At 48.9% G+C, this 13,246-nt stretch overlaps 1 long non-coding RNA gene and 2 pseudogenes across 2 annotated transcripts in view; all 3 read left to right on the forward strand.

Moving 5' to 3' along the window:
• Nucleotides 1-13,246, forward strand: part of RAET1E-AS1 (RAET1E antisense RNA 1) — a 56,011-nt gene that overhangs the window by 39,759 nt on the left and 3,006 nt on the right. The gene's annotated exons all lie outside the window — the stretch shown is intronic.
• LOC100240714 (multimerin 2 pseudogene) lies at nt 2,382-3,750 on the forward strand (annotated as a pseudogene).
• RAET1F (retinoic acid early transcript 1F (pseudogene)) lies at nt 6,772-7,234 on the forward strand (annotated as a pseudogene).

Raw genomic sequence — 13,246 nt, forward strand, 5'->3', positions numbered from 1 at the left:
CCACAACCTAGATCATATTAAAACCAACTTAATTTTAACAGGATGCAAAATCTCTGCTCCAATATTGCTCTGCTTCTTCCCCCATCTTTGTGGTATAAAAATGATATATACATAAATTATATGGCATGTGTTTTGCAAAGAATAATCACCTGCCACCCCCACCCACTCCCGCCAATCCCAGAGGATGCCGGTGTGAATCCCTGGAACCCCCCACTGGGTTATATGGAAAAGGGAGTGAAGGCTACAGATGGAGTTGAGGTTGCTCATCATCTGCCCCGGAAACGGGGTGATTTTCTGGATTTCCCTGGGGTTCCAATGTAATCACAGGATCTTTATAGAGGAAGAGGCAGACGGAAGAGGGAGAACCAGATGAGGGGCACAGTGAGGACTTAATCTGATGGAACTGCCTTTGAAGATGGGGAAATGGGCCCTGAGCCATGGATGTGGGCAGTTGGAGAAGCTGGAAAAGGGGAGAAGGAGACAGGTTCTCCCCGAGAGTCTCCTGAAATAACAGCCCTGACAACACAGTGATGTTAGCCCATTGAGATCCATTCCAACTTCAGATCTCTAGAATGGTAAGAGAACAAATTTGTGTTATTTTAAGCCACTAAATTTGTAATTTCTTACAATAGCAATCAAAAGCTAACACTGTCTGTTTTAAAGTGGTCATTGCTTTAGGAGGAAAAAGTTCAGGTTAAGAAGGTTCAGGATTGCCTGAGCAGGCACAGATACTGCCATTTTAAATAGATGCCTGTACATTTGAAAACGGTTGAAATGGCTCCTGGCTGTGGCAGGGCAGCAGGCTGGGGCCATGGCAGGCCAAGTGCAGGCCCAAATCAGACTGCAGGAGCTTCACATACACTCTGGGCAGGCACCTGCCTCTCAGTAGCTCACTGAGAGATGAGGGCACCCAGCAGGGGTCCCCAAGGGAAGGCACAAAGAGGGAGCCAGCCTGAGATTAAGGGGCTGTGAAAACAATGCTTTTCCAGAAGTCCTAGCTGGTTACCTTCACAGCTGCTTGCAAAACAGAGAAATTCTACATCCACTCACAGCAGCCATGTCCACAGGGTGCTCCAGACGGCCAGGAAGTTAAAGTCACGCCACCTGGCTGTGGAGATCAATGAGGCTGAAGTGCAACAGGAGCAGCAGGAATCCCTCCTGGGAGATCTCCAGGATGACATTCCCCCAGGTGACAGCCTACCAGGCCCGTGGAAAGCCCTGGCTAGTAACCTCACAGCTGCAGTGTGGCAAATCAAACAGAGCTGGAGTTGTCTGGTAGATCCTTGGAGCAGGTGCTGCTGCCCCACATGGACACCTTCCTGCAAGTGCATTTCGGCCCCATCTGAAAGAGCTTAAAGGAAAGCTTGCATGGCTTTTCCCCGGACATAACAAATCTGTTTCTTGATGTGGAGGCCAACACCAGGCCATCACGATGGTCCAGGATAGTGCTGTGGCCAGGGCTGACTGCCAGGAGCTTGGTGGTAAATTTGAAGCCAAGATCCAGGAAAATGCTCAGAGAGTGGGCCAGCTGTGAAAGGATGTGGAGGACTGACGGCATGCTCGGTGCTCTTCCCTGTACACTCCCTCTCTGAGGTCCAGGCTGATGTGGACACCAAATTGAAGAGGCCAAACCCAGGAGGCCCCAAGGACTAATGGCAGCTGCGTGTTGATGACGGCAGGGGCTGGGGCAAGGCCTGAACTGGAGAGCCTGCAGGCCAGGCTGGCCAACTGCAGAGGAACCTCTGGGTGCTGCACATGGACTCAGCCTGCAGGGAGGAGGAATTGCAAAACACCCCTCAGGGATATGAGGGCTACCCTGACCCGGCACGTGGATGAGATGAAGGAGCTGTGCTCCGAATTGGACGAGACCTTCCATCAGATCAGCAAAATGGAGCCAGAGATGGAGGTGAACCACAGGGCGCTCTGTGAGCTGTGTGTGGTCCTGATGAAGCCTTTAATTATGGAGGCAAACAAGGTGGAGGTGGAGTAGCAGCTCCTGGAGCTCAGCCTCACCCTGCAGCACCTGTGGGGCGACCACACTGACCTCATCAAGTATGTCAAGGAGGCAGCTGCCACAAGCTCTACTTTCACTTGGAGGCCGTCCGGGAGTGCCACGGGGACACCACGCACCCTGAAGGAGACCCAGGGGAGCCTGGATGGCGGCGCCAGCTGCACAGCTCCTAGGCTGCCCTGATGGAGGCCTGCTGGCCTCCCTCTCTGGGGAGGAGGTGATGGAGGAGAGGTCAAAGGAGGCGCACGGCCAGCTTCCCCTGCCCGTGAGCAGATCTGCCTGGCCCTGAAGGAGCAGGTGCTCGGTTGGGACTCGCTGGCTACCCGGGTGGCAGCCCTGGAGCAGGCCACGAGTGGGCCGTGGCTTGGAGCCCCCATGGCCGGCAGAGCACTTGGAGCTGGCGACCACTTGGGCCCAGAAGAAGCTGTGTGAAGCCCTGGCTGGGCTGGCTCAGGAGCTCCAGCTCCTGAGATCTGACTTCAGTGGCTCGGGTGGTGCTGCAAGGCTGCCCAGCCACCTCTCTCACCTGCCTCGGGGCCTCCATGGTCCGCCTCCGAGTGCAGCTTGGACTGCACCAGCTGCTCCTCCTTGGAAACTTCCAAGAGCTGGTGACAGCAGTGTCAGCCTAAATCTGGGGAAGCTGGAAACCGTGCCCAGCAGGAAAAGGAAGCAGAAGCAGAAAGGCCCAGAAGTTCCCCGGAAGAGGGACAGGAAAGAAGCTGAGCCTTTGCCAGACACACACATCAAAGGGCCAGTGCCAGATGCCTTGAACACTGAGCTCTGGCAGGCAGGCTCCCCTGTGGCCTTCTATGCCAGTTTCTCAGAAAGGACAGCTGCCCTGCAGACATGGAAGTTCAACACTAGCTACATCGACACTGACAGCAGCAACTTCCCTGAACATGGCTACTACCAAGCCGGAGTTTGGTGTCCCATTTGCAGTGAGCATTGAATTTGGCCCAGGGCCAGGAACCAGGCACCTGGTGTTTGGAGGGCTCCATCAGGGACCCTGGGCGGGAAGCACAGCAGCCACCTTTGCCATGGCTGAGCTGCGAAAGGGTGAGAGAGTGTGGTTGGAGTTAACCCAGGCATTGGTAACAAACAGAAACCAGCGAGGCACTGCATTTGGGGGCTTCCTGATGTTCAAGACATGAACCCTGGGCCCAGCTCTGATTGGACATCATGGACTTGCCCAGCTCTCCTTGGTCTAGGGCTCTGGCCAAGGATGGTCTGCAGATCATCCTGTTGGTCTATCTCTTCCCTGGACAGCTTCTGCGAGAGAGTGTGGTGTACGTGGTCTCTGTCTAGCGCACTGGGTTTGGCTATTTCTCAATGACAAGGGGGACTGGACTACTTCTCTGGGTGGGACCTGGTTCTGAGCTTGGTATGCCTTCTCAGACAGCACAGGCTGGACTCCAGCCCTTTGCCATACTGTGTATTCTACAGCTGCTTTGGTGGCGTGCTCCTCTTGTGGATGGAAGCTTCTGTGCAGCACTTTAACTCTTTCTCCTGCTTCCTATTCTCTTCTCCCTAATTGTTGGCTACAAAGTCATCTTTCCCAGAAGGAGTCTCTAAGATGGAGGTGACATTTGGACAGTATTGGAAAGCAGTCTCCAACGACTAGAGGACAGTGGAATAAAGCCAACCTGTTTGGTCTCTGTCAGCCAGAAATGGAGAAGAAAACCTGGTTGAGTCAACAAGAGAAAGAAAATTAGTATCTTTCGTTTCAGTTATTCCTTGTATTTATCTGTAATTTTAATTTCATATCTTTCTCTCCTTGCCATACACAGAGCAAAGGCCCAAACATGCCAAATGTGAACCAAAATGTATATGGCCTTCACCATTTTTACTTCCTCCAGTATCTTTGGGCCATCTGAATTCTTGCTAGCATGTCTAACCAGGAGGCAGCTGAGGAAGGAGTGAAGGAGGACTGTAAAAATACCTCTCAATAATGATCAACCTTGGGGTAAAGCGATGCCCATAGATAGAGAGATAGATAAACAGATATAGATATATATGTGGTTAAGATGGAACATTTTGTGTTACATCAATTATATCAAAATTTAAAAATTAAACAAAGAAAATAATAAAAGGATTCCAAAGTGGGAGGGTGGTGGCAGCAGGTGTGGAAGGGTGTATCACTTAGGAACAGGTGTGGAAGTGAGCTGGGTAGACTTCTGAGGGAAGAACAGTCCAGGCCCAGGGGAGGGTGATGCAAAGGCCCTGAGGCAGGGGAACAGGCCCTGAGAACCAGCAAGGATGCCAGGGATAGGAGATGAACGAGCAAGGACAGAGTCAGGGACAGCTGTGCAGGGCTCCCTAGGCCTCTGCAGTGGCTTTGGTTTTACTGAGAGGAAAAGGGTGCGTTTGGAGGGTGGTATGGTTTGGCTGTGTCCCCACTTAAATCTCATCTTCAATTGTAGCTCCCAAGATTCTCACATGTTGTGGGAGGGACCCAGTGAGAGATAATTGAATCATGGGGGCAGTTTCCCTGATACTGTTCTCATGGTAGTGAATAAGTCTCATGAGATCTGATGGTTTTATAAGGGGAAACCCCTTTCACTTGATTTTCATTCTGTCTTGCCTGCTGCCATGTGGGATGTGCCTTTTGCCTTCCATGATGATTGTGAAGCCTCCCCAGTCATGTGGAACTATGAGTCCATTAAACCTCTTTTTCTTTATAAATTATCCAGTCTCAGGTATTTCTTTATCAGCAGCATGAAAACTAACTAATACAATAAATTGGTATTGGGAGTGGGGCAGTGCTGTAAAGATCCCTGAAAATGTGGAAACGACTTTGGAACTGGGTAACAGGCAGAGGTTGGAACAGTTTGGAGGGCTCAGAAGAAGACAGAACAATGTGGGAAAGTTTGAAACTCCCTCGAGACTTGTCGAATGGCTTTGATCAAAATGCTGATAATGATATGGACAATGAAGTCCAGGCTGAGGTGGTCTCTAATGGAGATGAGGAACTTGTTGGGAATTGGAGTAAAGGTGATTCTTGCTATGTTTTAGCAAAGAGACTAGTGGCAGTTTGCCCCTGCCCTAGCGATTTGTGGAACTTTGAACTTGAGGGAGATGATTTAGGGTATCTAGCAGAAGAAATTTCTAAGCAGCAAAGCATTCAAGAGGTGACTTGGGTGCTGTTAAAGGCATTCAGTTTCAAAAGGAAAATGCACATAAAAGTTCAAAAAATCTGGTGATGGGATAGGAAAGAAAAACCCATTTTCTGGGGAGAAATTCAAGCTGGCTGCATAAATTTGCATAAGTAACAAGGATCCAAATGTTAATCGCCAAAACAATGGGGAAAATGTCTCCAGGGCATGTCAGAGACATTTGTAACAGCCCCTCCCATCACAGGCCCAGAGGCCTAGGAGGAAAAAATGGCCTGGCTCACGAAACCACAGAATGATTTCCTGGGCCAGGCCCAGGGTCCCCCTGCTGTGTGCAGCCTAGGGACTTGGTACCCTATGTCCCAGCTGCTCTACCCATTGCTAGAAAGGGCCAAGGTACGGCTTGGGTTGTTGCTTCAGAAGGTGCAAGCCCAAAGCTTTGACCGCTTCCATGTGGTGTTGAGCCTACAGGTGCACAGAAGTCAAGAATTGAGGTTTGGGAACCTCTTCCTAGATTTCAGAGGATGAATAGAAAGGCCTGGATGTCCAGGCAGAAGTTTGCCACAGGAGCGACACCCTCATGAAGAACCTCTGCCAGGGCAGTGTGGAAGGGAAATATGGGGTTGGAGCCCTCACACAAAGTCCCCACTGGGACACTGCCTAGTGGAGCTGTGAGAAGAGGGTCACTGTCCTTCAGATTCTGGAATGGTAGATCCACTGACAGCTTGCACTGTGTGCCTGGAAAAGCCAGAGACACTCAATGTCAGTCCTTGAAAGCAGCCAGGAGAGGGGCTGAACCTTGCAAAGCCACAGGGGCAGAGCTGCCGAAGACCATGGGAGCTCACCTCTTGCATCAGCATGTCCTGGATGTGGGACATGGAGTCAAAGGAGATCATTTTGGAACTTTAGGATTTGACTGCCCCACTGGGTTTTGGACTTGCATGGGGCCTGTAGTCCCCTTGTTTGGCCAATTTCTCCCATTTGCAACAGCTGTAATTACCCAATGTCTGTACCTCCATTGTATCTAGGAAGTAACTAACTTGCTTTTGACTTTACAGGCTCATAGGCAGAAGGGACTTGCCTTGTCTCAGATGAGACTTTGGACTATGGAATTTTGAGTTAATGCTAAAATGAGTTAAGACTTTGGGGGACTGTTGGGAAGGTAGGATTGGTTTTGAAATGTGAGGACATGAGATTTGCGAGGGTCCAAGGGCAGAATGATATTTTGGCTCTGTGTCCCCGCCCACTATGATCTGGATGGGGTAAGGAGGTGAAAGCATTGATAAGCCAAAGTGACAGCCTCTTTTGTAGACATGATCCTGCCTAAATTTCTCATGCCCCACAGAAGAGGGCACTGAACTCCCCACTTCTCCAGAGCTTCATGCAGTCCTTGAAGCACTCTCTGGCTGTCTCTGCAAGTGGCTGAACAGCTCCTCCTGGTCTCTATGGGGCTGCAGAGGCTCCAGGTCCCTATGGCTCAGGGGCTGTCACGCTCACCAGGTCCCACCAAGGGTGCCCCCCACCGTGGGTGGTGGAGGAGACCAGGTGTAGCTGCTCTTGCCCCTACCCCTCTCCTGACCTGCCAATCTTAATAGGAGGAAGCAGTAGGGATGAGTGGAGCCATGGAGGTTGTTCCCACCTCCTAGGACCACTTTTCCTTTCCTCTTTCTTGGTCTGTTTCTGGAAATCTATCAAAACTACCTCCAATGCCAGCCCTGAGACCCTCCCCTCCCCCACCCTGGGGCATCACCTCCTCTTCTGCCACAGCGGGAGGGTGGGGTGTGCTGTCATCTTGCTTCCCTCAGCAGCTGTGTGAGCTCCCTGAGGACAGGGGACACCCCCTCTCCCTACCCCAAAACCTGTCCCAGGGGCTACCCCATAGCGAGGGGGAGGGGACAAAACCTCTGCCTTCCAGGATGACCTGGCTCGGCAGGAGCTGAGGAGGCGTCTCCTCAGATTTGGGGCCTGGACAAGGGCTGTCACTCCTGTGTTTCCCTTTCGGCACCACCCACCGTGGCCCCAGGCACAGCTCAACCTAAAGCCATGGCCACCACCCTCAGCTCCTGAAGCCTCATCATCGTCCTCCTCTTCTTCATTCTACTTGGCATCTGAGGAGAGTTCCATGCAGAGGGAGAGGAAACTGGTACAGGCTTCCTGAAGGACAGGGTAACAGGGCTCACCAAGAGTCAAAAATATCCACATCTGAATGAAGAATATGTATTCATATGCGTTTCAAATGGCGGCAAAGACTCCCTGGAAAGATGAGAAGAATCCAATCAAATTTCGTCCCGGGCTGTGGCCAATGAGAGTGGATGCAGGCAGGGGCCGGGGAGCCTTTCACACATGACTTTTCATGGTTTCGATCCTGAAACAGGTGAAAATATGGAGGTGAAGGAGTAAGGAAGAGTGGGGCCGGGAGCCCCGGGGACGGTCACCAAGTATGCTCGCCAGATCTGTTGTGGGCCATGAGGGTCCGGAAACGTGGAACCCGGGCAGGGGCGCGCGGGGCTGCTGCAGTGACGAGGCACTGGTTCTAGATATTTACCCAACTGTGTTGTCATAAGGATGATATTACAGGTGATTGCTGATTTCAACCACAGATGACTTTCGGGGAAAGTTGGCTCCTGAGGGTTTCAGTTTCCACCTAGCCGCGTGCTCTCCGGGTTCTGCGTGCTCCTCCCAGGGCGCCCGCTGTGCCCCAGTTCTGGACCTGGGTCCTACCCAGTGGAAACCAACGAGTGGGTGCCCCGCCGCCCACCGCAAGAGTTCTTTATATATTCAGGATACCAGTCCCTTACCAGATACATCATTTTCAAATATTTTCTCTCATTCTGCAAGTTTTTTTTTCTTTCTAAATGGAATCCTTTTTGAAGCACAAAAGTTTTATATTTGCATGAAATGAAATTAAACTACCTTTTATTTTGCCATCTGTGCTATTGGCATACAGTACTTAAGAAGCCTTTGCCAAATCCAGGGTCACAAAAATTTACTGCTCTATTTTCTTCTGAGACTTTCATAGTTTCATGTCTTATGTGGACATCTGCCATTCATCTAGAGCTAGTTTTTGTGTGTGCTGTAAGGAAGGGGCCCGCCTCATTCTTCTGCATGCAGCATCCAGTTGTCCCAGCACCATTCACTGTAGTGTACAATGCACCTGCCCAACCTCCTGTCCCTCCCTCCTGCACTCAGCATCAGAAGTGCGTCCTGCTGAATGGTTCTCCCAGGGTTTCCACCAATGAATTCCCCTCATGTGAATCCCATATAGGCATCTGCTTCTCAGAGGACCTGGACCGAGGAGTGGATTCACTGGAGGAAATTATATTTCATAAGATAGAACATTCTGAGAATAGTAACACTTGGCATACCCCTTACTACATCAAAAGTAAGAAATTGGCCTGGCACGGTGGCTCATGCCTGTAATTCCAGCACTTTGGGAGGCTGAGGCGGCAGATCACGAGGTCAGTAGATCAAGACCATCCTGGCTAACACGGTGAAACCCCTTCTCTACTAAAAATACAAAAAATTAGCCGGGTGTGGTGGCACGTGCCTGTAGTCCTAGCTACTGGGAAGGCTGAGGCAGGAGAATTGCTTGAATCCGGGAGGCAGAGATTGCACTGAGCTGAGATCGTGCCACTGCACTCCAGCCTGGGTGACAGAGTGAGACTCTGTCTCAAAAAAAAAAAAAAAAAAGGTAAGAAATTGCATGATTTGGTCATTTGGGTTCCACAATTCTTATGTCAACATAGCTTATCAATGTTTATTTATTTTTTCTTATTTCTGTTGTTGTTGTTGTTTTCTTTGAGACAGGCTCTCACTCTGCACCCAGTCTGGAGTGCAGTGGCACCACCTCAACTGCCTGCAACCTCAGACTCCCAGGCTCAAGTGATCCTCCCACCTTAGCCTCCTGAGGGGCTGGGACTACAGGCACATGCTACTACACTTGGTCAATTTTCAAAATTTTCTGAAGAGACAGGGTCTCACCATGTTGCCATGGCTTATCTCCAACTCTGAAAATAACAAGTTACTTTTCACATGGTTGTATGACATTATGTAGACTTTTAAAATTCTGTATAAATAATTTAGACAATACTGTATTAGAAAATGTTTTCTACAGCCACAGCTTCCTAAAAATAGAAGTGGTATTAAAATGTGCATTTGTCAAATCTTGAAGAAGTTTCAAATGTTTAGGGTGATTCTGACCTCTCATTTTGGTTGACACAATAATCCATAAAAACAAGTAAAGTGCCCACTCTGATCTGGAAGGGGTAAGGAGGTGAAAGCATTGATAAGCCAAAGTGACAGCCTCTTTTGTAGACATGATCCTGCCTAAATTTCTCATGCCCTACAAAAGAGGGCCCTGAACTCCCCGCTTCTCCAGAGCTTCATGCAGTCCTTGAAGCACTCTCTGGCTGTCTCTGCAAGTGGCTGAACAGCTCCTCCTGGTCTCTATGGGGCTGCAGAGGCTCCAGGTCCCCATGGCTCAGGGGCTGTCATGCTCACCAGGTCCCACCAAGGGTGCTCCCCACCGTGGGTGGTGGAGGAGACCAGATGTAGCTGCTCCTGCCCCTACCCCTCTCCTTACCGGCCAATCTTAACAGGAGGAATGAGTAGGGATGAGTGGAGCCATGGAGGTTGGTGCTGGAAAGAACAGAAATGAAGACCTTTGTCCAATTCTCCCAAGTTATGGAGATCCTTTTCTGAGTTCTAGTAGCCCTGGGGTAGTCTGATGATTGGATTCCTCCCACGTGTCTTAAACCCTATCATATGGCAGCCACTGTGCTAGGTGCTGGGTTTACAGGTGGTGACTGATGTGTCCAGTCCTCCAGGAACTTAGAGTCCAGGGACAGAAACAAACACCCACATGGCTGCTACTGCTGATGTGATGTCCTTGTGGTGGTTGGGGCTATCAGAGGACAGAAGAGGGGGTGACTCATTCTGCCTGGGGATTTGCATGGAGGCTTCTTGGGAGGTGGCATTTCAGACTGTTCTTGTAGGAATAGGAAGAATACAGCGTGGCCAGGTGGGAGGAGAAGATAGGGCACCCAGCAGAGGGACAAGCATGAAGAGGAGGCCTGGGGGTGCAAATATCATAGAACTTTGGGGAGCTCTGAGAAGTCTGTAGTAATGAACCCTCAGTTACTAGGGTAGACTCTTTCCACAGGGAGGAGGAAATGTCAGGAGGGAAGACAGGGAAGGAGGGGAGGGCAGGAACCACCCTGGAGTCCCTTCTCTCTCCACAGCAAATCAACCAGGAAATCAATTCACCATTCATACATGCATGTTATCACACACACACAGACACACAGACATGCACGCACAGTCTCTCTCACACACACTCACACCACACAGGTGTTTACACATTCACACACACACACATACACAAATGCATGCAGAAATACAGACACAGACACGCACATGCACACACAAAGACACACATAAACACATGGGAGAAACTGGGTGTCATCTCAAGAGTTGTCGTGTTGGGCCCATCCTGCCCCCTCACTTGTCACCTCGGGGGCTGTCTCCCAGCTCATGAAGGATTCCTGAAGCCATCAAGCAGGATGTCACTGTGTGATCTGAAACACTCAGACACCTCCTCACTCTGACCTTCCTTCCTGGTTTCCTTGGCTCTGGGATGAAACAGTGTCCTGCTAGTTTTCACTGCATCAGAAGAGAAACCTCTCCCGTGGGGCAGAACTGCTGGGCCACCAGAGCGCACCGCTCTGCTCTTTGCCCTCAGGGCATCTTGATCTGCATGGTGGGAGGAACTTCCCCAATCCTCAAAAATGAACTCTTTATGGATTCCTCATTCGACATGATGTCAACGTCTCTTTTGTCTTCTCTGTAGCCCTTGACTGTGGATCCCAAGCTGTGTGCCAAGGAGCTCATGGTGCAAACTCACTGTGAGCAAACCCTCTGGGTTTATTGAAATATTTGAAAGATGAGCAGTGTCAGGCTAATTTTACCATTTTTAGCAGACACGGTGTTTTACCATGTTGATCAGGCTGGTCTCAAACTCCTGAGCTCATGATCTGCCCACCTTGGCCTCCGAAAGAGCATTTTTTCATGTTTGTCGGCCACTTGCAGGTCTTCTTTTGAAAAGTGTCTGTTCATATTCTTTGCTTATTTTTTAACTGGGTTTTTTTGTTCTTGCTTGTTGAGTTGTTTAAGTTCCTTGTAGATTCTGGATATTAGAGCTTTGCCAGATGCATAGTTTTCAGCTATTTCTCCCATTCTATAGGCTGTTTACTGCGTTGCTAGTTTCCTTTGCTCTGCAGAAGCTCTTTAGTTTAATGAAGTCCCATTTGGCAATTTTCAGTTTTGGTTGCAATTGCTTTGGGTGTCTTCATCATGAAATCTTCGCCAGGCCCTATGTCCAGAGTGGTATTTCCAAGGTTATCTTCCAGGATTTTTATAGTATTAGGACTTACATTTAAATCTTTAGTCCATGTCGAGTTATTTTACTTATATGGTGAAAGGCAGGGCTTCAGTTTCATTCTTCCACACATGGCTAGCCAGTTATCCCAGCACTATTTGTTGATTTTGTTGAAGGTTAGACGGCTGTAGGTGTGAAGGATTCTTTCTGAGTTCTCTATTGTGTTCCACTGACCTAAGTGTCTATTTTTGTACCAGTACCATTCTGTTTTGATCACTGTAGCCTTATATTATAGTTTGAAGTCTGGCAGTGAGATGCCCCTGGCTTTTTTTTTTTTTTTTTTTTTTTGCGTATGATTGTTTTGGCTATTTGGGCTCTGTTTTAATTCCAAATAACTTTTAGATTAGATTTTTCTAATTTTGTGAAAAATGATGTTGGTTCGATAGGGATAGTGTTGCATCTATAAATTGCTTTTGGAAGTATGGCCATTTTAGCTATATTGTATCTTCTAACCCATGAGCATAAATTATTTTTCCATGTATTTGTATTGTCCCTGATTTTTTTCAGCCACGTTTTGTAGATTCTGTTTCCACACAAAATCTAGCAGAATCACTCATTTATTACTCACACCATGGAGGAAAAATGAAATAACATTAATTCTCTACTGGGTAATACAAGAAAATTCTAAACTCAGTAGGTTTTTGGGAAATAGAACTCTTTGTGGAAATATTAGTACAGAGCAATAAATTACTGAGGAAATATCATTAATATAATTTTTTCTTATTAAATAAAGAATTATCCTTCAGGACGCGGAAAGAAACCTTGGAGGTCTGAAATCTAACATGATTGTTTTACTGACTGTATCATTTGGAAGAAAGAGGTCATCATTCAAAAAGTACTTGATTTTTCAAACAAAAGCAGAAGAAAGAAAATGTTGACATATCTTTTTTAGTCAGCCAGAACTTTAATTGCAGGAATTCCATCAGGTAGCACCAATAAAAAATAACATAAGATGTTAGGAATAACCGCTGGTAAAATTATTGACAAAAGGAATCAAGGCAGTGAATGAGCTATTGGGTCCATGGTGTCATCATGATCTGCTGGAGGCCACTGGACATACACAGTAGGTGGTGGGCAGGTGGCCAGACAGAAGGGCGAGTTTGATCAAGACCCTGCTCACAGGGGCTTTTTGGTATCATCTTTAACTTTCAAAAAGGACACAAATGTTGGTTTAAGAGATGAAGGAGAACCTGGATCACTTTTGCAGGGCAATCTTTCCCTAGGCACTCCACGTCTCAGAGCCCACTGCACTAAAGGACCCGTTTTTCCCTTGAGCCCCAACCCTGGCACCTGCAGCTTGGAGCAGCCTCTTTCCTCCTTTGTCAAATCACAGTGTCAGCCCAGGCCCTGCACCTGACCAGGGGATGGAGTGGAGGGGCCTGCAAGACTGAAGCTGGTAGTGATGGGCCTGCTCCCTCACTCAAGGCCCTCTCTACCATCTGATGAGAAGGCCTAAAACATGGCAAGGGGTAGGGGGAGCCCATCCAAAGAGAGGGCTCTGTATTCCTGTGTCCTTGGCATTGGGTGGGCCTGCAGGCAAATATTCCTCCTTCCCCTTCTTCCTCAGCCTCTCCTCACACTGCAATCAGCACCCATAGCTCTGAAGGTGACTGTCCCTGTTCCACCTTATTCATTCCTGGTCCAGCCCAGTGGTGCCCATGGACTTAAGCAGCAGCTCAGGTCCCCCGT

This window comes from Homo sapiens, chromosome 6 (genome assembly GCF_000001405.40).
Source record: "Homo sapiens chromosome 6, GRCh38.p14 Primary Assembly".
NCBI classification, from domain to species: Eukaryota; Metazoa; Chordata; class Mammalia; order Primates; family Hominidae; genus Homo; species Homo sapiens.